At 38.9% G+C, this 27131-nt stretch overlaps 1 protein-coding gene and 1 long non-coding RNA gene across 3 annotated transcripts in view; one reads left to right on the top strand and one right to left on the bottom strand.

Moving 5' to 3' along the window:
• ARFGEF1-DT (ARFGEF1 divergent transcript) overlaps nucleotides 1-27131 on the bottom strand; it is a 148035-nt gene that overhangs the window by 24139 nt on the left and 96765 nt on the right. The window contains exons 2-3 of the long non-coding RNA NR_136224.1: nucleotides 25434-25520; nucleotides 263-338 (exon numbers count right to left, since the gene is read on the bottom strand). This is a non-coding gene — a long non-coding RNA (ARFGEF1 divergent transcript). The remainder of the gene's footprint in view (nucleotides 1-262; nucleotides 339-25433; nucleotides 25521-27131) is intronic.
• Nucleotides 1-27131, top strand: part of CPA6 (carboxypeptidase A6) — a 324323-nt gene that overhangs the window by 278631 nt on the left and 18561 nt on the right. The window lies entirely within an intron of this gene.

The raw sequence follows: 27131 nt of genomic DNA, 5'->3' as shown, positions 1-27131 counted from the left end.
TGCCCGGTCGCCCTTACAGGTTTTAAAGCTGGAAGAAAACAACTGATCCTTGAGTATCAACAGTGTCAACCAAAGGACTGGTTAGGAAACTACAGCAGGACCATAAGCCATGATGCAATAAAGCAGATGAAGAGAAACCGCAAGGAATGTGGAAGCAGCACTTATTAAGACACCAGCAAGACAGAGAAGCAGAGGGAAAGGGAGGTATCCAGGATGACTCTGTTTCTGGTTAGAGTACCTGGTGGATACAAGCACTACTTACCAAGATTTGGCAGCTAGTAGGAGGTCAGAATCCGGTGAAAAACATGAGTCCAGTTGTGAGCAGTGGATTTGAGGTGCTTGTGGGAATGGAGGGGAAGATAGACAATGGTAAATATATATAGATCTGGAGTATTATAAAAGGTCTAGCCTAAACATATAGACTTGTGGGTCCTCAGCACAAAGGGAGTGATTGAAGCTTTGCAGGAAGATTGGATTGCCCAGGTACACGTCAACAGTGAACAGAGAAGAGACTCGAGGCAGAACCTTGAGCCTGTTTGTACCCTTCGTTCTAAACATTCTGTTTTGAAAATACATTATAAAGAAACAGAAAAAGATGCTGACCATAATGTCATTTATAGTGAGAAGAGTGACCCAAATGTTGAACAAGGCAATGTTTAAATAAATTAATATATATTCAGCTGGTAAAGTTTTAGGAAGCCACAAAACTTGATAAAAAGTTTGTTTTAAAATAATAAAAGAATGTATATTATTGAGCCTAATGCTGGCAATGTAATTATTTTTTCACTGGTTTTAATTCTGTAAAATACGTAATGATGAATCTATATTTATACGTGACAGATATGTGTGTATGATACATACACATTACTATAAACATAGGGAGTGAAAAGACTGAGGAAACATATACTAAAATGCCAGAATTCGAGGACTAGTGTTGTTTTTCCTTCTTTCAAATGTTTTCTCAACCACACAGTCACATGGAAATTAACCAACTTGTTCTTGAATGATTTTTGGGTAAACAACAAAATTAACACAGAAATCACAAAATTCTTAAAAATAAATGAAAACAGGAATAGAACATACAAAATCTCTGGGATGCAGCAAAGGCAGTGTTAAGAGGAAAGTTTATAGTGCTAAATGCCTACCTTAAAAAGTTAGAAAGCCCAAATTAATGATCTAACATAACACCTACAGCAACTAGAAAAACAAGACAAAACTAACTTCAAAGCTATCAGACGAAATTAAAAATCTAAAATTAGAGCAGAACTCAATGAAATTGAGACCCAAAAATTCATACAAACAACAAGCAAAACAAAAAATTGATTCCTTGATAGGATAAACCATATTGATAGACTGCTAGCTAGATTAACAAACAAACAAACAAAAGATGATCCAAATAAGTACAATCAGAAACAACAGAAGTGACATTACAAGTGATCTCACAGAAATACAAAAGATCCTCAGAGACTATAATGAGCACCTCTATGCACACAAACTAGAAAATCTAGAGGAAGTGGATAAAGTCCTAGAAATACACACTCTCCCAAGATTGAATCAGTAAGAAACTGAAACCCTGAACAGACCAATACGGAATTCCAAACTTGAAGCAGTAATTAAAAACCTACCAAAAAAAAAAAAAAAAAAACAAGCCTCAGACCAGATGAATCCACAGCTACATTCTGCCAGAAGAAGAGCTGGTACCAATTCTACTGAAACTATTCCAAAAAATTAAGGAGGTAGGATTCCTCCCTAACTTACTCTATGAAGCCAGCATCACCCTGATACCAAATTCTGGCAGAGACACAATGAAAAAAGAAAACTACAGGCCAATATCCCTGATGAACATAGATGCAAAAATCCTTAACAAAATACTAGCAAACAAAACCCAGCAGCACATTAAAAAGTTAATTCATCATCATCAAGTAGGCTTCATTCGTGGGATGCAAGTTTGGTTTAACATATACAAATCAATAAATGTGATTCACCACATAAACAGAATTAAAACCATCTGTGTATCTCAATAGACATGGGAAAAGCTTTTAATAAAATCCAGCATCCCCTCATGATAAAAATCCTCCAGAAACTAGCCATCTATGACAAACCCAGGGCCAACATCATACTGAACGGGAAAAACTAGAAGCATTCCCCTTGTGAACTGGAACAAAACAGGAATGCCCATCTCACCACTCCTATTCAACATAGTACTGGAAGTGCTAGCCAGAGCAAGCAGGCAAGAGAAAGAAATAAAAGGCATCCAAATAGAAAAAGAAGTTAAACTAGCTCTCTTTACAAATAATGTGATTCTATACCTAGAAAACTCTAAAGACTCTACCAAAAGCATCCTGGAACTGATAAACGACTTCAGTTAAGTTTCAAGATAGAAAATTGATGCACAAAAATCAGTAGCATTTCTATACACCAATAACATTCAAGCTGAGAGCCAAATCAAGCAATTCCATTTACAATAGACAAAATAAAATAAAACTACCAGAATACATCAAGAAAGTGAAAGATCTCTGCAAGGAGAACTACAAAACACTGCTAAAAGAAATCTTACATGACACAAACAAATGGAAAAATATTCCATGCTCATGGATTAGAAAAATTAATAATATTAAAATGGCCATACTGCCCAAAGCTGTCTACAGATTCCATGCTATTCCTATCAAAATACCAACATCATTTTTCACAGATTTAGAAAAAACTATTCTAAAATTCATATGGAACCCAAAAGGAGCCTGATTAGCCACAGCAATCCTAAGCAAAAAGAACAAAGCTGGAGCCTTCACATTACCTGACTTCAAACTATACTATGAGGCTACAGTAACCAAAACAGCATGGTACTGGTACAAAAACAGATGTATCAACCAATGGAACAAAATAGAGAACCCAGAATAAAGCCACACACCTACAGCCATCTGATCTTCAACAAAGTCGACAGAAATAAGCAATGGGGATAGGACTCCGTATTCAATAAATGATGCTGAGATAGCTGGCTAGCCATATGCAGAAGAATGAAACTGGACCTCTACCTGTCACCATATACAAAAATTAAGTTGGATTAAGTATTTAAATGTAAGGCCTCAAACTATAAAAATTCTAGAAGAAAACCTAGGAAACACCATTCTGGACATGGGCTGTGGGATAGAATTTGTGACTAAGTCCTCAAAAGCAATTGCAACAAAAACAAAAATTGACAATTGGGACCTGATTAAAGAGCTTTTGCACAGCAAAAGAAACTATCAATACAGTAAACAGACAATCTACAAAGTGAGAGAAAATATTCATAAACTATGTATCTGACAAAGGTCTAATATCTAGAATCTATAAGGAACTTAACTCGACAAGCAAAAACCAAATAACCTCATTTAAAAATGGGCAAAAGATATGAACAGACATTTCTACATTTCTCAAAAGAAAATATATAAGCAGCCAACAAACATATGAAAAAATGCTCCATATCACTAATCATCAGAGTAATGTAAATCAAAACTACAATGAGATACGATCTCACACCAATCAAAATGGCTATTAAAAAATAATAATAAAAATAACAGATGCTGGCAAGGCTGCAGTGTAAAAGGAATGCTAATACACTGGTGGTGGGAATGTAAATTAGTTCAGCCACTGTGGAAAGCAGTTCTGAGATTTCTCAAAGAACTTAGAACTAGCATTTGACCCAGCAATCCCATTATTGGATATAGAGCCAAAAGAAAACAAATGGTTTTACCCAAAAGACACATGCGCTCGCGTGTTCATTGAAGCACTATTCACAATACCAAGGAGTCAACCTAGATGCCCATCAACAGTGAACTGGATTTTAAAAATGTGATACATATATACCATGGAATATTATGCAGTCATAAAAAAGAATGAAATCATGTCCTTTGCAGCAACATGGATTAGGTTGGAGGCCATTATCCTAAGCAAATTAATGCAGGAACAGAAACCCAAATACCACATGTTCTCACTTATAAGTGGGAGCTAAATATTGCCTACTCAGAGACATAAAGATTGCAACAATAGAAATTGAAACAACTAGAGGTGGGAGGGAAGGAGAGGGACAAGAGTTGAAAAACTAACTGTTGGGTCCTTTGCTCAGTATGTGGGGGACGGTATCATTCATACCCCAAACCTCAGAATGATGCAACATACTCAGGTAGCAAACATGCACATATATCTCCAAATTTAAAATAAATGTTGGGGAAGGAAAATTTTCTAAACTTAGTTTTAGAATTCTTCTTTTATTTATCTATTTATTTATTTATTTATTTATTTTTGAGAGAGAGAGTGAGTTTCAGTCTGTCACACAGACTGGAGTGCAGTGGCGCAATCTCAGCTCACTGCAACCTCTGCCTTCTGGGTTCAAGAAATCCTCCTGCCTTAGCCTCCCAAGAAGCTAGGATTACAAGTGTGCACCACCACACCTGGCTAATGTTTTTATTTTTAGTGGAGACAGAGTTTCACCATGTTGGCCAGGCTGGTCTCGAACTCCTGACCTCAAGTGATCCGCCCGCCTCGACCTCCCAAAGTGCTGGGATTACAGGCATGAGCCATGGTGCCTGGCCAGAATTCTTCTTTAAAGAACAAATTTGCTTTTAATAGTATGTTTTCTGCATTTATTTTTCCCATACAACCTACAAGTGGTTAGCCAAATAACCAATTAAGCTGAATAATTCTTAAAAGATGCATATATTAAAATGAATCCCAGAGATAAATATAATTTAAATGTAAAATCTTGTTACCACTATGAGGCTTTAAGTTAGGTCATTTGACTATACCTCTCCAAGAATTTATCAAAAGTCAATAGAGCCACAGGAGTCATTCTACAAATATTTACTGAGCACCATCTATATGCAGGCACTCTGCTTGAATGCTACTTTGGAATGTTTCTTCAGGCAGTATTGAGATCAAGGAAACAGATTCTAATTTTCTTCACTGTATTTTTCTCTACCTATCTATATGCAAATGATACTTAAAAACACCTTTTCTTACAAGCTAACTTGGACGTATTGATACTCTTATAATTTTCTGATACAGCACAGCTCTACGTGTTAAAAGAGAAAGAGAGAGACAAGAGAATTGGAAAGATGTGGAAAACAGGCAATATTACACATTGCTTTTGAGTGTGAATGGGTCTTTGGCAATGTCCATCCAAAAAGAAATACATGTGCCTTTTGACTAATTAAGTGATTCTTTTAGGAATATATCCTACTACTATACTCACATATGTGGGAAATAATATAGGTACAAGGATATTCATTGCAATCCTCTGCATAATAGCAAGAGATTAGAAGCATTCCAAATGCTCAACAGAGGACTAGTTAAGTAAATTAGGCTCCAATTATATAGTAAAATACTATATTTAGCCAGAATGAGGCTGCTATTTTATGCACTGACATGGAAAATCTCCAGGATCACATACACACACACAGTTGAACAAAGCAAGGTAAGATCAATAGATGTAAAAAAATACTGCTATTTGTGTAGAAAAGATTTTTTTTCACAGATGGATATAATAAAACTGGCTTTTTGCTTAAAAACACAGAATATCCCTGGATTTACACCCAAAAAAGCAGTGAACATGGTTGCTTCTGGGGAAAAAAAAATAGATGGCTAGACAGACGAAGGAGAAAGCAATCTGTGTGGCATCCCATGTATGTCCATTGGCCATTCAAAAAAATATTTTAAACAGTAAAAATAAGTCAGTGTTCTTTAAAAAAAAAAAACCTAAAAATTTTAACTAAAGCCTCTAGAATGCACAACCACTATTCAAAACCCTTCTCCTTGCTTATTAGCTTTTGTTATTCAGCTTAATTTGTTTGTGTTAGTAAAACAGGGAAGAAGCAAAAAGAGGCCTCATGGGCCCATAAAGAAAGGCGCCCCATCCGGGAGGGAGGTGGGGGGGTCAGCCCCCCGCCCGGCCAGCCGCCCCGTCCGGGAGGTGAGGGGCGCCTCTGCCCGGCCGCCCCTACTAGGAAGTGAGGCGCCCCTCTGCCCGGCCAGCCGCTCCATCCGGGAGGGAAGTGGGGGGGTCAGCCCCCTGCCCGGCCAGCCGCCCCGTCCGGGAGGTGAGGGGCACCTCTGCCCGGCCGCCCCTACTGGGAAGTGAGGAGACCCTCTGCCTGGCCACCACCCCGTCTGGGAGGTGTACCCAACAGCTCATTGAGAACGGGCCGGGATGACAATGGCGGTTTTGTGGAATAGAAAGCGGGGAAAGGTGGGGAAAAGATTGAGAAATCGGATGGTTGCCGTGTCTGTGTAGAAAGTAGTAGACATGGGAGACTTTTCATTTTGTTCTGTACTAAGATAAATTCTTCTGCCTTGGGATCCTGTTGATCGGTGACCTTACCCCCAACCCTGTGCTCTCTGAAACGTGTGCTGTATCCACTCAGGGTTAAATGGATTAAGGGCGGTGCAAGATGTGCTTTGTTAAACAGATGCTTGAAGGCAGCATGCTCGTTAAGAATCATCACCACTCCCTAATCTCAAGTACCCAGGGACACAAACACTGCGGAAGGCCGCAGGGTCCTCTGCCTAGGAAAACCAGAGACCTTTGTTCACTTGTTTATCTGCCGACCTTCCCTCCACTATTGTCCTACGACCCTGCCAAATCCCCCTCTGCGAGAAACACCCAAGAATGATCAATAAAAAAAATTAAAATTAAAAAAAAAAAAAAAGAAATCGAATTATGCTCCTTCCACCACCATTCCTCACGCCTCCGCTCACTAGCCCCACCAAATGGAAAAGGGGTGGGGAAGAGCAAAGCAGAGTTCCACTGAGTTATATTTAATCTAGTCTAATCAACACCAAGTCACTGCTTCCTGTGGCTGTGGCCTCTCCCATCTTCTCTCCTGGTACTTCGCTAGAGATGCTGACTGTGAAACAGATTGAGGGAAAGTGAACAGTTTTACACTGATTCAAAACATTTCACAAAAATATATTCTTTTATTATATAGATAAATAGAACAAGTATATCAGCAAAAACAATTTCTTTAATGTGATATATTTTATTATAATGCAATAAATTTGTTTTATTTTACTGGAATCTATTTAAAATGAGGTTTTGGCATCTCATTCTAGCCTGCATAATTCTGAGAGAAAGATTCCACTATGGCCTTCCAGCAAATTCCACAATTAAGAAATAAGCTAGCGCTAATTCATCTCATTCACTACTCATAGATTGGGAATGTAGACTGGTAACAACAAAAGACAAAGTAATAATATGATTCAAAACTATTGATTTCCTTTCCTTATTATTCATTCATATTTGCTGGTATCTCTACCTTTATTTGCACATATTTTCAGGTTATGCCATAATGGTAGAAAACAGCATCATTGTTCAGGCTCTTATGCAATCTCTTAACTCTTATTATAACCTTATATTATAATAACTGACCTTAAAATGTAAAACACAAATGGAATTTTTATGTGATAGACTAAGAGGGACCTTGCTGTGGGGCAGATTGATTCATTCAATAAACATCTATTGATCCTCTGCTATGAGCAAAGCACAATGCTGGGCCAGTACGAATAATACTTGGTTCTTGTTCTTAGGAACTAATAGTCTAGTGAGGTTGACAAGCCAGCTACATTTCAAGGCTGAGTATTAATAAAAGCCAAGAAATAGAGGCACCCAGGTCACGCTCCCAGAGGAAGGAGAAATTCTGACTGGGTGAGAGTGGGAAAGCTGTAGACAAGTGCCTTTTTTTCCCCCCAAGACTTTACTTCTTTAGAGCAGTTTTTGGTTCACAGCAAAATTAAGAGGAAGTTATGGAGATTTTCCATGTACCTACTGCCCCTACACATGCATAGCCTCCCGCATTGTCAACAGCCCCCAGCAGGATGGTACATGTATTACAATGGATAAAAACCTATACTAACACATCATTACCCAAAGTTCATAGTTTACATTGGAATTCATGCATGCAATGAATACTTTGGAATTGGACTGCATTACACTGAAATGTTGGAACATATGTAAACATAGTTTACACTGGAATTCATTCTATGGGTTTGGTAAAATGTGTAATGACATGTATCCCTCAATATAGTATCTTACAGAGTATCTTCATTGCCCTAAAAACCTTCTGTGCTCTGCCTACTCATCCCTCTCTCCACCCAACCCCATGACAACCATGAATCCTTTTACTTCCCTCACGGTTTTGCCTTTTCCAGAATGTCATCTAGTTGGAACCACAGCAGGTAACCTTTTTGGATTGGCTTCTTTCACTTAGTAACACACGTTTACATTTCCTCCATGTCTCTTTATTGCTCGATAGCTCATTCCTTTTTAGTGCTGAATAATACTCCATTCCCTGCATGTACCACAGTTCATTCATCTGTTCATCTACTAAAGGACATCTTGGTTGCTTCCAAATTTTGTCAATTATAAAGAAAGCTGTTGGCTGGGCATGGTGGCACACACCTATAATCCCAGCACTTTGGGAGGCCAAAGCAGGCAAATAGCTGGAGCCAGGAGTTTCAGACCAGCCTGAACAATGTGGCAAAACCCCATCTCTACTAAAAATACAAAAATTACCCAGTCTTATAACTGGGTCTCAAAGTAAATAAATAAATAGATAAAAATTTTTAAATAATTTTTTTAAAAAAGGAAAGCTGTTGTAAACATCCATGTGTCCATGTGCATGCTTGTGTGGGTATGTTTTCAACTCCTTTAAATAAATTGCAAGGAGCATAATTGCTGGATCATATGGCAAGAGTATATTTAGTTTTGTATACAATTGCCAAACTCTCTTTCAAAGTGGCTGCACAATTTTGTATTACTACAATCAATGAATGAAAGTTCCTGTTGCTCCACGTCTTCACCATCATTTGCTGTTGTCAGTGTTCTAGATTTTGACCACTCAAATTGGTGTGTAGTGGCATCTTGTTTTAATTGGAATTTCCCTGATGACATATGATGTGGGGCATCTTTTCATTTGCTTATTTGCATCTGTGTGCTTTCTTTGGTGATCTGTCTGTTAAGGTCTTTAACCCATTTTTAAATTGTTTTCTTATTACTGAGTTTTAAGAGCTCTTTATATATTTTTGATACTAACGCTTTAAAAGATGTGTCTTTTGCAAATGTTCTCTCCCATTCTGTGGCCTGTCTTCTCATTCTCTTGACATTGTCTTTCGCAGAACAGAAGTTTTTAATTTTAAAGTCCCACTTATCAATTATTTCTTTCATGGATTGTGCCTTTGGTGTTGTATTTTAAAAGTGATTGCTGGCCAGGCACGATGGCTCACTCCTGTAATCCCAGCACTTTGGGAGGCCAAGGCCGGTGGATCACCTGAGCTGAGGAGTTCAAGACCAGCCTGGCCAACATGGTGAAACCCCATCTCTACTAAAAATACAAAAAATAGCCGGGGGTGGTGGTGAGCGCCTGTAATTCCAGCTACTCAGGGAGGGTGAGGCACGAGAATCACTTGAACCTGGGAGGTGGAGGTTGCAGTGAGCCGAGATTGCACCACTGCACTCCAACCTGGGCAACAGAGTGAGCCTCCATCTCAAAAAAAATAAATAAAGTGATCGCCATAGCTAACACTGTCTAGATTTTCTGCTATGTTATTTTCTATGAGTTTTAGAGTTTTTCTTTTTACATTTAGGTCTATGATCCATTTTGAGTTATTTTTGCGAAGGGTGTAGGCTCTGTGTCTAGATTCACTTTTTTGTATGTGGATGTTCAGTTGTTCCAGCACCATTTGTAAAAAAGACTACCTTTGCTCCATTGTATTGCCTGACAAGTAGCTTTTGAGCTGACCCGTCCCAGCATGGAAAGATTTCAATAGGTTTCAAGAGAGGAAATGAACAGCCTGAGCTGAAGGAAGAACGGGAACAAAGGCAAAGAGATGGGGAGGGAATGACAGAGCAGGAATTGGCAAGTGAGGGATGGGGCTGTGGCTGTTTGTGGGGTCTACAGAAGAGAACATGAGCCTAGAAATGTTCGATCAGTAGGGGCTTGGACACCATGCTGAGGAACTGACACTGATGTTGCCCACAAGGAGCCAATGAGCATTTTTTTTTTCTGGGGTTGGGGGAATAACATGATCTATTTTGGTTATAGAAAAGTGCTCTGACAGCAAGATGAAGGATGGATTACAGTGTGAGGGGAACCAGTTTAGAGGCCACGGTGCTATCCAGGTGAGAGGTGATGAAACCAGGATAGAGGCAGAGAGGATGGAAAGAAGAAGGCACTGGAAAGGTAGAATGATGGAACCCAGTGACTGACTGGAGGAAAGAGGAAGGGATCAGATTGCTGTGGAGCTGAAGACTCCAAGATCTTCAGCCAAAAAAATAAGTCCCCCATATATCCAGTTAAAGGGCTTTGACCAAAAACCAAAGAATCTTAATAGACAGGAAAAAAATGAGAATTTTGGAGGGCATCCTCTAGTCTGAATCACATTAATAAATTCATTCATTTACTTAATAAATTTTTAAGAGCAGTATGCTAGGCACAGGAGATACAAACATGAAAAGCACATAATTCCTGCCCTCAAGATTGACAGCTTAGTAAAAATGTTACGCTGTGCTAAATGCTGTGTAGGGGTAAATAAACGGTGCTTGTGAAAGCTTATTTGTGCCCCATTGCTGCTGTAACAAATTACAAACTTGGTGACCTAAAACATGTCAAATGTGTTCTTTTACAGTTCTGGAGGCCAGAGTCCAAAGTGGGTTTTGCCAGGCTGAAGGCGTGGCAAGGCCACACTCCCTCAGGCAGCTCTTGGGAGAATCTGTTTCCTTCCCTTTTCCAGCTCCTAGAGGCCGCTATATTCCTTGCCCTGAGAGCTCTTCCTCCACAGTCAAAGCCTATGGCGTACCATCTTGTCTCTCTGAATCTGTCCACTCTTCTGCTGTCTCATAGCCTTCTCTTCTGCCGGTATTCAAATCTCCCTCTTATAAGGGCACCTGTAATTACATATAGGACCTATTCAGATAATCCGGAATAATCTCCTCATCTCAAGAACCTTAATGTATCACATCTACAGAGGCCCTTTTCCATTTAACAGTCACAGTTTCCATGGATTAGGACCTGGTGATTTTGGGGGGCCATTATTTCACCTACCACAAGGGATATAGAGCAAAGACCCTTCATCTAGCCCCTTTATCTTGAAGGCTGTGGTGAGCCATTATAAAGTTTAAGCAAAGGAATTACATGGTAAGATTTGCATTTTAGCAAAATTAACTTGGGACTTCTGAAGATATAGACTGAAGAAGAGCCTGGGGTCACGGGACCCCTACAATAATTCAGAAAAGGTTTGACTGCTTATAGGAGTTAGGTTGAGTGTATTGAAAGGAAATTGAGACAATGTACCAACTGCTCTTTGCAAATTGTTGGACTCAGTAGATGATTTCTGGTTTGGGCAATCAGGTGCCATACACGACAATTTGTAACAAAAGAGAAGCCAATTTGAGAGGGATTTGGGAGACCTTGAGCAGGGAAGAAAGTTTTATCCAAGGAAAACTGCATTCTGAGAATTAAACGTTTGCTAACTACATTTTAGAATGCAATCCGTCTTCAGAGACTGCCTCTAACAACAAAACCAGAAATCAATTAAGTTACACAACGGTTATTACTAAATTTTGTCCTCAGATCTTTAGGACAGAATCTAAGCATACTGAGGAAAATAAATATGTAATTACATTAAAATTTTTGTTTCACCTGCACTGGAACCATAAACTATCAATGCTGTAAAGAATCTTAGGGCTGAGCACAGTCATAATGGCTCATGCTTGTAATCCTAGCACTTTGGGAAGCTGAGGCAAGAGGATCACCTGAGGCCAGGAGGTCAAGATCAACTCAGATAATATGGCAAGACCCCATCTTTACAAAAAATTCCAAAATTAGCTGAGCATTCTAGTGCATGCCTATAGTCCCAGCTACTCAAGAGACTGAGGTGGGAGGATCACCTAAGCCCAGGAGTTGGTGTCTGCAGATTACACCACTGCACTCCAGCCTGGGTAACAAAATGAGACCTTATCTTTTAAAAAACAAAAAACAAACAAAAAAAACAGTCTTGGCAATCATTTTCTTTTTTTTTTTTTTTTTTTTTTTTTTTTTTGCTTTTGTAGAGAAGGGGCTTCACTATGTTTTCCAGGCTGGTCTCAAACTCCTGGCCTCCTTAGCACTCATTTTCTAATCCAACAATTTTCAACCTTTTTTTTTCTATGCTACACACCCTATTGATGATGAAAGCATAGTCCTGTGGTCAATTCCAAGCACACCCATACTAATTTCACCTTTTTTATCTTCTTCTTTACAAAAGTATATTAGAGTAAAGTAAGAGTTATTTATCAGGATAACCAAACCCATTTTTTTTAGTTAAGTAATTTTATAACATGTAACAAACTACTGTGAGACATCCCCCACTACTGATAGCAACACGTTTTCCCAACACCACAATGAGAACCACGGATTTGGTTCTCAAGTCCACCCAGGACAAATGCAACCAGAGCAGTGGAATGCCTGTCACTGCGCTGCTTCGTGATGCAGTTGTAACTGGAGCACAGCCTCATGATTTTTAGCCCATTGCGGCTTCTGGTACCCCTCCATTCTTCATTTCTCCTGTAAAGCCTAGTTTACATCTTATTATATCATCCAGAAAAGCTAGGGTTCACAGAATCAACAAAACCTTTTCTTTGTTGTCCTTTATTTTTTAATTAAAATCGTATTTTTTTGAGCTCCCTCCATCTTGAGCTCCATTGAGTCTCTTCTTTGCCATTGTAGTTACCCCAGGGCTCCTAATCTTCCCTGCTCTCTCCCCTCCTCTGTGCTCCATGCTCTTAGAGTCTGCACTGCACACTTTACGATTATATCCGGCATTGTCTTGTTCTCTAATTTTCTCATGTGTGCATGTCTTGTCTCCTTTCTAGATTTATGAGGTCCTTGTAGAGTTTTACATCTCAATACTTAAAAACTAAAAAGGTGATGTATGGTATGGAAGTTAAATCGCTGAAGTGTTCAGAACAGAGATGTATGCTGTTTCATTAGACAAGACTAAATTTCCTCTCCACTCTGCACTGCAGAGATCTGTTATATATTCCGCAGTTGTTCTGCATGTGAAGATGAGAAAGAGAATTTTGTCTCTTTCAGAAACAATATATTGGTTCCCATAAACTAAGGGAAAACTAATAACTTTTACATTCTTATACTCCTAAAACATTAAGAATGATGAGTTTGATGCTGCTTGCTCCTTTCTCCTAGAAGAAGTCTATTTTATCACATTTTTTGTTGTTGTTTTTTGCTTGTTCCCTTGAAATGCTATGTCCTAATGCTGTAGCCTTCTGCTCTCTTGATCTTTCATAGTACTGCAGACATTTTCTCATCAGAATCTACATAACTAAGGCCAGATCTGGACAGGACTCTTAAAATAATGTATCCATCCAACACAGCTACATAAAATCCAGAAGGGATTTGGTATTCAACAGTATTTGTGAGCTGTTTCTTTGCATTTTAGTAAAACCTAGATAGTGCCCCAAAAAGGCTATAAATAAAGATAGATGGTTTTAGTGATCTTCTTTCCACCCAAATTAATTTATTTCCATGTTAGAGACACAGCCATTCAGGATTCTGATTTTATTTTGTAAAGACAGGGTTGGTATAGAAGATGAGTAAGGCAACATTTCAGAAATAAACACTGGCAAAAAGAACTCTGGATGTGATAGCCCATTCTGCTGCTGAATCAATACTTAATCTGCAGTAAATAACACTGGCAGGATGCCAATCCATAAAATCAACCATAAAATGCTGTAGAATATTCCAGTGTCTAATGTGCTTCTCAGGCAAACAGCATCGACTCAAGGCACAGTACTTCTGAGTATTACAAGTTTAGCTCATGTATGATAATAATGAAATAAAATGCTTTCTCATTTTATTATGTCTCTAATATTAGTCAAATGCTAGACCCAATCAAGTAGAGAAATGGGTATATACACAATTTTAATGCAGGATACTAAGTTTTTGACAAATGCAGTTAAAGGGCATTATAAGCACATATCGGAGAAGCACCTAACCCAGCCTCAGGGTGTTAGAGAAGACGCCAAATCTATTTTGTTGGTCCTCTTTTTTCCCTACACTCTTAATGTTGGACTGCCCAGGGTTCAGCCTTTGTCTTTTTCTCTTCTCTATCTACATTCATTCCCTTAGACATGTCATCATTCTCTACTGTGTGCCTATGACCCCCAAATCTCCAGATGTTAAACTCTCTCCCAAGCTCCATATATCATATCTATTAGCATCTTCACTGGGGGTATCTAATAGACATCTCAACTCAAAATATCCAGAAATGAACTCCTGACCTTCACTCTGCCAAATCGGCTCTTCCTATAGCCATTCTCAGCTCAGTTGATGGCAACTCCATCCTTCCAGTTACTCAGGCCTTAAACCCATGGATCAATCTTTAACATTGCTCTTTCTCTTACACCATACATCCAACCATTTATGAAATCCCTTTGATTTTACCTTAAGAATCGCTCCAGATTCCAACCCTTTCTGACCACTTCTGTTACTACCATCCCAGTCTAAGTTACCATCATCTCTCATGTGGGTTACTGCAGGAGCCTTCTAACTACTCTCACAGCTGCTACCCTTGCCCCCCTGCCACCCACACAGACATACAAACACACACTCTCCATCCTCAGCCACCATGAACCTTTTAAAATATAAGTCAGATGATGTTAACTGCTGAAAATGCTGCAGTGGCTCCCCATTTTACTTGCCTAAGGGACTTAATATAGCCTATAAACTTCACATAATCTGGTCCCCCATCGATTGATCTCATCTATTTCTATCCTCATTCCCCACTTGGCTCCAGCCACATTGGCTTAGGGTCTTTGCACTGGCTGTTTCCTCTGCTTAAAACTCTTCCCTGGATGCCATAGCCAACTCCTTGAGTTCTACAAGTCTGCTCAAAAGCCAGCATCTGGGAACAACGTCGTCACCATCTCTATCATTGCAACCCAACTCCCCAGTACTCCTAATCTTTCTCACACTGTCCTTTTTCTTGTTTCCATGGCACTTTTCTCCTACACAGTAGAATTCTCGCTTTCACTGTGTCTAGTGTCTATTGTCTCGCCACCACCACTGGAATGGAAGCTCTCTACAAGGCAAAAACCTTTGGTTCATGATGTATCCCAGTGCGTGAGGCATGGTGTGTGCATAGTAAAGACGTGTTGAATACATGAAAGTATCTACATGTAAGTAATAGTTGAGGCTGCCATGTTCAATGAAGAGAGTGACCACTGAAGAACATGGCTAAGAGCAGAACAATTGGATTCGCCTTCATTTAAGGGACTAATAGAAGAAGAAAACCCCATAAAGGGGGTTGAGAAGGAAAGAACAGAGAGACTGGAAGAAAAGTTTGAGGGAACAGTGTGTTAAAAGCCAAGGGAGGAGAATATTTCAACTAGGAGGTCAAGTCCTATGAAAAGCCAGGTAAAATAGGTCCTCTGGCCCTCTTGAAGTCATTGCCCTATTTCCCTGCTCCATATCCCAGCCTGTCCTTTTTGTGGCCCTGCCCATCTTTCACACACTTCTACTCCCTCTGCATGTTCCTTAAAACCTTCCTGTTGTAAATGAACCTCTCCAATTGCACATCTCCCTCCATTGATTCTTTGGAGGAAAGCTCATCAGCACACAATTACAGTTTTTTATACAGTCTGGGAGGAAATTTAATGGTCCTATTTTTCTCTATGAAAATGCTTAGTCATGAAGTTATCACTCCGTATTTTCTTGATAATAAGCATTGATTTGTACCTATGTACACAAACAACTTGGGACTTATTGCCCATATACAAAGATTGTTTAAGTATCTCATTTTCTTTTGGAAACATTTTTTAAAGTACCTACAACTTAGGAAAAACTCAGCGTTTCAGATTTTAAGTTATTCAAGAAATATTTAGGTGATGATAATATTCTCATGGACCAACAGGCTTATCTGAAAATATTTTGTGGTGGTGGTGGTGGTGATATCCATGGTGTGTCCTCAGCCTTCCATAAAGATGAACTGGAGTTTAGTTGTCTAATCAAAGCCTAAATGTTAATTAAACAGTCTAAGGCAACAGTCCCCAACCTTTGTGGCACCAGGGACCAGTTTCATGGAAGACAATTTTTCCACAGACTGGAGAGTGGGGAGGGGATGGTTTCAGGATGATTCAAGCACATTACATTTATTGTGCACTTTATTTATATTATTACTACATTGTGATATATAATGAAAGAATTATAAAACTCACCATAATGTAGAGTCAGTGGGATCCCTGAGCTTGTTTCCTGAAACTAGACAGTCCCATCTAGGGGTGATGGGAGACAGTGACAGATCATCAGGCATTAGATTCTCATAAGGAGCACACAACCTAGATCCCCTGCATGCGCAGTTCACAATAAGGTTCGCACTCCTATGAGAATCTAATGTTGCCACTGATCTGACAGGAGGCAGAGCTCACCTAGTAATGTGGGCAACGGGAAGCAGCTATAAATACAGATGAAGCTTTGCTTGCTCACATGCCACTCACCTTCTGCTGTGTGGCCCAGTTCCTAGTAAGCCATGGACTGGTACCGGTTCATGGCCCAGGGGTTAGGGACCCCTGGTCTAAGGTACAAGCACCTTCCCTGAGCAGGGTCAGCTCCACTTATTCATTTAACTAACATTTAAAGGGTAGTGAGGGTGTCTGTTTTGCTAAGTCACGGGAAACTGTAGTCCAGGACCTCTGTCCTCAAGGAGCTCACCCTCTAAAGGAGAGGAGAGTCTATATAAATAAATAGCTTCAGTGCAACATAAGTGCTATCACTTTTACAGCCTTCTGCCGCCAAACACAGCTACTTCTAAGATTAGTCTATATTCTCTACTCTGCCACTCTTCGCACATCATGTTGGGTCTGTACCGCACCACCTGAGCTAGTATGGGATGTTATAAAGACCCCAAGCTTACCTAAAGAAAGTTGGTGTTGGTTGGATCTAGCGAGGATTCTATGGATAAAGCAAGTAGCCTCAGGTCAAGAGGAGTGCTCCACTGTGGCTATACAGCCAATAGATACAAGGCAAGATTGTCACCACTCACGTCTTCACCCGTAGCCTGATTGCCTTCCACTCCAGAAAGGAACAATAGCACTGGTCCTGTTTTCAGTACAAAATAGTTACCCTTTTTCTTACTCAATCTTGAAGGAGAAAATCAATGTTTGGTTTTTCTCTCCTTAAAAAGGATAAAAGATAGCAATTCCTACCCTTCGTTCATTGACATAAGTCTCTAGACTTCAGGAGTGGCTTAGAAATAGTTAAAAATCTACAGAGAGGATGGAAATTAGATTACTCCATCTTTGTCTTCTTCCTTGAACTTTGAACAAAGCAAGTAATTTATCTTTAGTAACTTAGAATGTTTAGTTATCTATAAGAGGGTCTGATTTTCTAAGGAAACGTCAATAGAGAGCCATTACTTGTTATTCCAAATATGAAGTAAGCATATTACCTATAAGTAAAGTTATCAGGAATTTTTGTAACTCTCAAAACACTATGTTTATGTAGTACATTGACCATAAAAATTTATTGAATGGGTTATATTTTTATTTTGATATCACATAAGCCTCCAAAATGAAATTTAAAGAGATGGCTTGGGTGGCCAGGCGCGGTGGCTCATGCCTGTAATCCCAGCACTTTGGGAGGCTGAGGTGGTTGGATCACCTGAGGTCAGGAGTTCGAGACCAGCCTGGCCAATGTGGCAAAACCCCGTCTCTACTAAAAATACAAAAATTATCCGGGCGTGGTGGTGTGCACCTGTAATCCCAACTACTAGGGAGACTGAGGCATGAGAATCGCTTGAACCCGGGAGGTGGAGGTTGCAGTGAGCTCAGATGGCGCCACTGCACTCCATCCAGCCTGGGGGATAGAGCAAGACTCTGTCTCCAAAAAAAAAAAAAAAAAAGAGATGGCTTGGGTGACTGATTCCCCAGATTGCATTTGATGGAGGTGGAGGTGGAGGACAGGAAGGGAGAACATGAGAGGAACATTGATGGCATCGTGAAGTAGCTTCTACCTCACCGTTCTGAGAAGACCATCTGAAAAACGGCTGTCTATCCACAATAATGACAACAGCAACAGCAATCAAGAATCTGAACAAATGGAACGGCATAAAACTGTCCTTGGATAGGACGACTCAATATAATAAAATCCTCCCCAAATCAGTACAAATTGAATGCAATTCCAGTTAGAATCTCAATGAAGGTTTTTTTGATTTTGTATTCTGCTTTTAGGAATTGGATAAAATGATCATAAAGTTTATATGGAAAAATAAGTAGACAAAAAAGCTGATAAAACTGTAAAAAGAGTAGCAAGGGAACTGTCTCTTGCCTGTATCAGAGCATACTTTAATGCTGCTGTAGATTGTTAGGGTAACAACGTGAGAATAGACACATAGAACAGCAGAACAGAACAGAGAGTCCAATAATTGATCCACACATGCATTACACTTTTGTTTTGCTTTTTTGAGACAGTCTCGCTGTGTCACCCAGGCTGGAGTGCAGTGGCATGATCTTGGCTCATTGCAACCTCTGCCTCCCTGTTTCAAGCAATTCTCATGCCTCAGCCTCTTGAGTAGCTGGTATTACAAGCATGCACCGCCACACCTGGCTAATTTTTGTATTTGTGGTAGAGATGGAGTTTTACCTTGTTGGCCAGGCTGGTCTCGAATTCCTGGCCTCAAGTGATCCTCCCTCTTCAGCCTCCCAAAGTGCTGGGATTACAGGCATAAGCCACCATCCCTGGCTGCATTACACTTTAATATATAACCAAAGTAATGTTTTAATTTGGTAGGAAAATTACAGGATATTTAATAAATTATGCTGACAGAGTTGGCTATTCCTCTAGAAAAACTGAAGGGATGATTGATAACATTATATATGTACAAAAATAAATCCAGAAGGATTAAAGACTTCCATGGAAAAAAATAAAGTGATAAAATTCTTAGAAGAAAATCTAGAAAGTACCTATAATCTTTAAGGATAGGGAAAACTTTCTTTTTTTCTTTTTCTTTCTTTCTTTTTTTTCTTTTTCTTTCTTTTTTTTTCTTTTTCGTTCTTTCCTTTTTTTTTTTTTTTCCTTTTTTGAGATAGGGTCTCACTCTGTCACCCAGGCTGGAATGCAGTGGCACAATCATAGCTCACAGCAACCTCGACTTTCTGGGGTGAGGTGATACTTCCACCCCAGCCTACCAAGTAGCTGGGACCACAGGCGCACACCACCACAACCAGCTAATTTTTTGTATTTTTAGCAGAGACTTGGTTTTACCATGTTGCCCAGGCTGGTCTCAAACTCCTAAATGGAAGTGATCTGCCCACCTCAGCCTCCCAAGGGAAAACTTTCTTAACCAAGACCAAAAAAACAAAAGCCATTTTTTACAAAGACATAGTGATTATATGAAATTTAAAATGTCTAAAATGATAAAGTTGCCATAAATGATTGAATAAACAAATTATAGATTTGAGGATAAAATGCAATGCAAATGACAGTCTTTACAAAGCACTTTCTACTTGGGTAAGGAAAAGATTAATAGCTCAACAGAAAACAAAATGAGCTAAGAACATGATTAAGCAATTCAAAGAGTCCGGTCTAAAGTATGAACACAAGCACACTTCCAGTAAGGAAGGCCAATTGGCCAGGCACAGTGGCTCACACCTGTAATCCCAGCACTTTGGGAGGCTGAGGCGGGTGGATCACCTGAGCTTGGGAGTTCGAGACCAGCCTGGCCAACAGGGTGAAACCCTGTCTCTACTAAAAATACCAAAATTAGCCTGGCGTGGTGGCACACGTCTATAATCCCAGCTACTCAGGAGGCTGAAGCAGGAGAATTGCTTGAACCTGGGAGGTAGTGGTTGCAGTGAGCTGAGATGGTGCCACTGCACTCCAGCCTGGGTGACAGAGCAAGACTCTGTCTCAAAAGAAAAAAGAAAAAAAAGGAAGTAAAATTAAATGTTTGCCATCAAACTGGCAAAAATCAAAAGGTGATACACTTGTAGAGTATTGCTAGTAGGGATGAAGGAGAGATGGTACTCTTACACACTACTTGTGGAAATATAAATAGTAACAATCTTAGCAAGCAATCTGGCAAAAAATCTATGAAAATTAAAAATATCCTTTTATAACTTTAAATTTTTGAATCATGTGAATTTATCACCTATTTAAAATGTGTATGTGTGTGTGTGTGTGTGTGTGTGTGTGTGTGTGTGTGTGTATACACACATATCTCCTTCAGCCCAGGGCCCTATTCCTATAAGTCTGTCCCATAGAAATAAAAGCACTCAGATGTAAGGATACATATACTTTGATGCTTATTGCATTATTGTTTCTTTCAGGTCAGTAGTCATGTCCCCACTTTCTTTATTGTAGTATTGTTTCATCATGGTAAAGAGAGAGAAATAAGCATAATTCCCAACAATAGGCAGGCAGGAGACTAAATTATGTTACAATAGAATGAATTTAAAAGAATGAATTCAAATCTGAATGGAAGGAGTTCCACAAAATATCATTGAAGAAAAAAGCAAGAGGCAAAAAAAATTGTACGATTATGATCTTGTTTTGTGAGTAAAAATAGCTCTTTTGTGTATATATATATGTGTGTGTGTGTATATATATGTGTATATATATGTGTGTATATATATGTGTATATATGTGTGTATATATATGTGTGTGTATATATATATGTGTGTATATATATGTGTGTGTGTATATATATATATGAATGTGTAATTTATACCTATATAGCTATATCAAGATACATATATGCATGGTGTGTGAGTACATATGTGTACTTGTAAACTATGTGTATTTGTTTACACACACACTGCACACCAGTATGTGTATTTGTAAACTATGTTAACTACGCTCAGTTTTTAACATGGGTCATTCCAGGATAATTTGACAGTGGGAGATGCAAGTAAAAAAGAAATCTTTTAAAAGATGACAATTTTTAAATTAGCATTGTGATTCCATTTATGAGAAATTTAAAAGCTATAAATGAAAAACATTGAAAGTGATAATATAACAATGAAAACACGTCACAATAACCATGATCTCCCAATACTGCTTACTAGAGGATTCAACTGCAACTGTCAAGTCAATTTCCACAGGGACCAGTTGCTGTCAAACATAAAATAAAACCAAATATTTCTGCTGCTTTTCTGTTTTTACTTATTTTCCTTTAAAATCTTTTAAATTTTTAAAAAATATATTTCAGATCTCGATTGTTCTTTTCTAATTTTTTTTACTTAAAATTGAGATAATATGACAGAAATAAAACATTGAAAAAAATAATTAGGCTAGGCATGATGACTCATACCTGTAACCCCAGTTCTTTGGAAGGCCGAGGACCAGCCTGGACGAGATATCGAGACTCTATCTCTATTTAAAAAAAAGAAAAAGAAATAAATAATACCATATTGCCAGCCTAGCAAATGACTACTTTTTTTTTTTTTTTTAGATGGAGTCTCGCTCTGTCTCCCAGGCTGGAGTGCAGTGGCGCATCTCCACTCACTGCAAGCTCTGCCTCCCGGGTTCAAGCCATTCTCCTGCCTCAGCCTCCAGAGTAGCTGGGACTACAGGAGCCTGCCACCACGCCCGGCTAATTTTTTGTATTTTTTTAGTAGAGACAGGGTTTCACGGTGTTAGCCAGGATGGTCTCGATCTCCTGACCTCGTGATCCGCCCGCCCCGGCCTCCCAAAGTGCTGGGATTACAGGCGTGAGCCACCGCCCCCGGCCGTAAATGACTATTAATCTTTACTTCATTTTATCTTTTTCCTTTGTTTTTAACCATCTCATTTATACAATTGCATGTTCTTTTTTCCATTAAATATTTAAGTATAATCATTTTTCCATGTATTTTTTGAATTCACTCTCCAGTGTTTATTTTTAGAGAAATAAAAAGGTGTTTTGAATGTCCAGAGAGACAACAGATTGCAATACACATACTTTTCCATACAAATGCCAGTTAGGAGATCAACCAAGAACTTTATGTTCTCACATTCTTTTATATCATCATTTATATCATAAATTCATTGAAGAAAAACAACATGTAGACACTAAGTTATTTAAGTTAGATTTCATCTATCTTTCTCATCCTTATTTTAAGAGAATTAATGCCTTTCTACACAATTAATTTAAAAACTAAAAATATTTTAATTATAGTTTAATTCATCTCTAAACATTTTAAATATTATTTTGGTATGTTTTATATAATATTAGCCTACAAACAAGAGACACATATATAAACTAAAAATATATATCAGGGATATGCAAAAAGTTTCTTACTGATGGGATGAGGAATCAAAGACATTTGAAGAAAACAGGAAATCAGAAGTCCCATCTACTATTCAAGGCCTGTCACTCCACCTGGTTGCTGATTCCACCCATTCACATCTTTTCTAGAACTTTCTCGTATCAAATCCCTCTTTTTCTTTTTTCATCTATACTTTTCCCCTATTCTTTCTTTAGATATGCTTGTCCTCCCAAAAAAAAATCTTAAATCTGCCTCTTATCCCCAAGGTTACCTCTAGCCATCATTTTATATATTTTCTTCACTTGTAGACCAAGCTTCCCAAAACAGATAGTCTATACTTACTATCTCCTTCTCCTTTCTTCCCATTCATTCCTCTAAGCACATATAACATCTGGCTTTTGACCCTACCACTCCACTAACTTTTCTAAAGCAAAAGTCCCCAGTTACTTTGTTACTATAAAATTAAATGAAATTCTTTTCTGCATTTTACAGGCTAACCACACTCTCCTTGAAACATCAAGTCCCTGGATTCTCTGACATCAGTATCTTGTGGTCCTCCTACTTTCCTGACAATTCCTTCCTAGTGTGAATGACAGAGTCCTGTTATACTCCTTGCCTCTTTTAAATACTGATATTCCCCACAGTTTGAAGCTTTTTATTCATTTTGAGTGATTTTACTTTTTTTTTTTTTTTTGAGACAGAGTCTCGCTCTGTTGCCCAGAGTGGGGTGCAGTGGCTCACTGCAACCTCCGTCTCCCGGGTTCAAGTGATTCTTCTGCCTCAGCCTCCCGAGTAGCTGGGATTGCAGGACCCGCCACAACACCCAGCTAATTTTTGTATTTTTACTAGAGACAGGGTTTTACCATGTTGTTCAGACTGATCTCGAACTCCCGATCTCAAGTGATCCGCCCACCTTGGCCTCCCACAGTGCTGGGATTACAGGCATGAGCCACTGCACTCAGCCGATTTTACTTTCACAAAATGATAATGACCCCCACATCTTTTTCTCTAGCCTAGTATTTCCTTGGAGCTTCATATTTATCTTTAGTACCCCATTAGAAATCTCTATTGGCAGCCAAACTTAACATGTCCAAAATGAAATAGACATCTTCCTTTTCTCCCTATATGTCCACATCCCTTCTCATCTATTCAATGTTTCATTCAAAACAACTACTGTCGTCCCGGCGCGGTGGCTCACGCCTGTAATCCCAGCACTTTGGGAGGCCGAGGCGGGCAGATCACGAGGTCGGGAGATCGAGACCAAGCTGGCTAACACGGTGAAACCCTGTCTCTACTAAAAAATACAAAAAGCCAGGTGTGGTGGCGGGTGCCTGTAATCCCAGCTACTCCGGAGGCTGAGGCAGGAGAATGGCGTGAACCCGGGAGGCGGAGCTTGCAGTGAGCCGAGATTGCACCACTGCACTCCAGCCTGGGCGACAGAGCGAGACTCCGTCTCAGAAAAAAAAAAAAAAAACTACGGATGTCTAAGTTGGCCAAGCCAGAGAGGTAAGATGTTATCAAACCCCACCTCATTGCCTTACATATTCAACCAGTCACCAAGTCCAATTAGTTAATCTTCCAAATATTTCTTTGATGCACCCCGTTGGTACCGTTCGTAATACCACTGTCCTACCTCCAGCTGTCAATATCTCTGGCCCAGATTGTTGTAATTGTGTCTTGATTTGGTCTCCCTGATTATAGACTTGCCTCTTACAAATCTATCCTATAAACTTTTACAAGATCAGTCTAACATAAAAATTTGACCATGCGTTAAAATCCTTCATGGTTAAGAGACTGAGGGGAAGAGAAATGTGAATTGACTGCTAAAAAGTATGGGGTTTCTTTCTGGAAATGAATGTTATAAAATTAGATAATGGTGATGGTTGCACAGCTCGATAAATATACTAAAAACTACTGAATTATCCACTTTAAAGTCGTATGTAAATTATATCTCAATAAAGTGGTGATTAAAAAAAAACTTCACAGTTATGGTAGCTCAAGATCTCCAGGAAGCAGGCATCAACTTAGGATTAGATGACAAGAGATGTATTCGAAGGAAACACCTTTGAAGAATAAAGAAGAGGAAGCAAGAATAGGCAGGACAGGGCCCGGGAGCAGTGGCTCATGCCTGTAATCCCAGAACTTTGGGAGGCTGAGGCGGGTGGATCACTTGATGTCAGGAGTTGGAGACCAGCCTGGCCAGCATGGTGAAACCCCGTCTCTACTAAAAATACAAAATTAGCCAGGCATGGTGGTGCGCACCTAATCTCAGCTACTTGGGAGGCTGAGGCAGGAGAATCACTTGAACACAGGAGGTGGAGGTTGCAGTGAGCCAAGATCATGCCACCACACTCCAGCCTGGGTGACAGAGCAAGACTCTGTCTCAAAAAAAAAAAAAGAATAGGCTAGGACAGCTTTTTTGCCATGATGCAGGTCAGAAACCTATGAAAAGAGAGGGAAAAGAAGGATGGGGCTGGAAGAGTCTCAGACTAATATGCAGCTCTAAGAAAGGCTTTGGCAGGTCTGTGGGGATGCATCAAGCCAAAGTTGCCTTGTAAAGGATACCTGCATCTGGCAAGAATGGGCCTGCACTAGTGCCTCTACTATGATCAGTCATTGGCGAGGCGCAGCTGTGGGGAAATGTGGGCTTGATGAGAATGCAGTGATGGATCCAGAGGGTAGCAAGTGGAGCTGTCAGTCAACTATGCTCACTGTACCAAGAGGTCTCAGTAGTGTATTTTATGGGCACCACAGAGGTTCTTCACTGCCTAGAGAACACTACAAGCTCCTTTGCGTCATAAATAAGATGTTCCATGAACTAGTTCCTAATTACCACTCTAGGCGCATCCACCAAAATTCTCTGACTCACGTTTTATGTTGAACCTTACTACCAAATGTCTCTTGCCTTTATACTTTTGTTGATATTGTTCTTACTATCTGAAATTATCTTCTAACTCATATCTATCCCTCTAGATTTGTCTCTTCCAGGGGACATTATCTCCTCTAAGAAGATTTTCCTGAACACTCACACAGGATGATTGCCTCTTTGCCCTGTCTTCTAAATATATCATATTACATTATATTACATTACACTATATTACATATTACATTATATTATATTATATTACATCATATTACAATATCACATTATATTGATTTTTTCTGTTACCTTTATGTCTTCCAGCATAATCTTTATGTTCCTCAACTCAGGGTCTGTGGCTTCTTCATATTTGATCCCCAATGCATAACATAGCATCTAGAACAGAAGTATTCAAAAATTTTTGTTAAGTTGAATTCAACATCAACTTGTAATTTTAAAATATAAGCCCTTTATATTATTACATTATTACACATAGTCTGACTTATGTTGTCATATATATTTGTGTTTCTTTATATTTCCTTGCTCTTTTTGGTGAAATTGTGATTATAATACTAAAAACTTCTTAATTCATTCTACATTCATTATATATGACCAAACATACATAAAGTCCTTTTCCCCCACTGTTCACCCTGCATGTATTCTTGTGAAAAAATTTAGTTATTAAAGAGCACCTCTTTTATATACCCATCCCCATGCTCTGTAAGTCCATCTAGAAGGATGATGTGAAGGAAAAGGGTCAGAGAAAGCCCCTAAAAACAACCAAACCTTTATATTTTTTTCTTCCTTACCATGTCTTGTTTTTGTTATTTAAATCATTAAACCATTTAGAATTCACTTTTGTATATTTATGTACTAAGGATCCAACTCTGGTTTCTCCATATTATGTACTAGTTTCTCAACATCATTTACTAAACAATAATTTTCTTGGTGATTCTGTTCCATTGGTCTACTAGTTTATTTCTGACTTTATATCATATTGTTTCTATGATTATACCTATGTATGTTTTAATACCTGGTAGGATAAGCCCTTCTCTGCTCTTCTTTTCCAAGATTTTCTTAGCTATTTATGCTTTCGCAGAACTTTCAGAGTTCTTTAGTTGAGTTTTCTCCCAAAATCCTGGGGCTGGTATTTTTGTCAAAATTGAATTGAACAAAATAACTAAATAAATAGGGAAGAATGAATATCTTTACACTACCAAGTCATCATATTCATGCACATGGTATAGTTCTCTAATTCAATTCTGAAATTATAGATCTTTTAGTAGAGTTTTAACATTTTCTTTCTAATAGTCAGGCATTCTTTAATAGCTTAATTCTTAGATATTGTGAATAATATCTTATTTTCTACTGCACATCCTTATAAGTAATATTGCCAAGAGTAGAATTACACTATTGAATTTTTTAAGCTGATCTTTTATCCAGGTGTCTTGGAGACTCCTCTACTTCTTGCAAGATAAACAGTGTCTCAGAGAAAGTATCCTATACAGGATCTAGTTTTTCCACAATAGGATAATTCCTCAAAACTGTGGTGGGATTTTGTTCCCCCCAAATTCATATCCACTGAAACCTTGGAATATGACCTTATTTGGAAAAAGGTTATTTGTGGAAGTAATTAGTTAAATTCAGTGAGTTGTCCTTACAATAAGAAGAGAGGACACACAGAGAAACACACAGGGAAGAAAGCCATGTGAACATACAAGAAGAGAATGGAGTACAGTCATGCACCACATGACAATGTTTTTGTCAACAGTGATTGTATGTATGTCAGAGGTCCCATAAGATTATAATACTGTATTTTTACTCTACCTTTTCCATGTTTAGATACACAAATATTTATCATCTTGTTATAATTGCCTATAGTATCTAGTAGAATGATATACTGTATAGGTTTATAGCCTAGAGCAATGGGCTACACCATCTACATTTGCATAAGTACATTCTATGATGTTTGCTCACTGACGAAATTGTCTAATGATGTATTTCTCA

Source organism: Homo sapiens, chromosome 8, assembly GCF_000001405.40.
Source record: "Homo sapiens chromosome 8, GRCh38.p14 Primary Assembly".
Lineage (NCBI taxonomy): Eukaryota > Metazoa > Chordata > Mammalia > Primates > Hominidae > Homo > Homo sapiens.
This window is presented reverse-complemented; position numbering and strand designations above follow the sequence as displayed.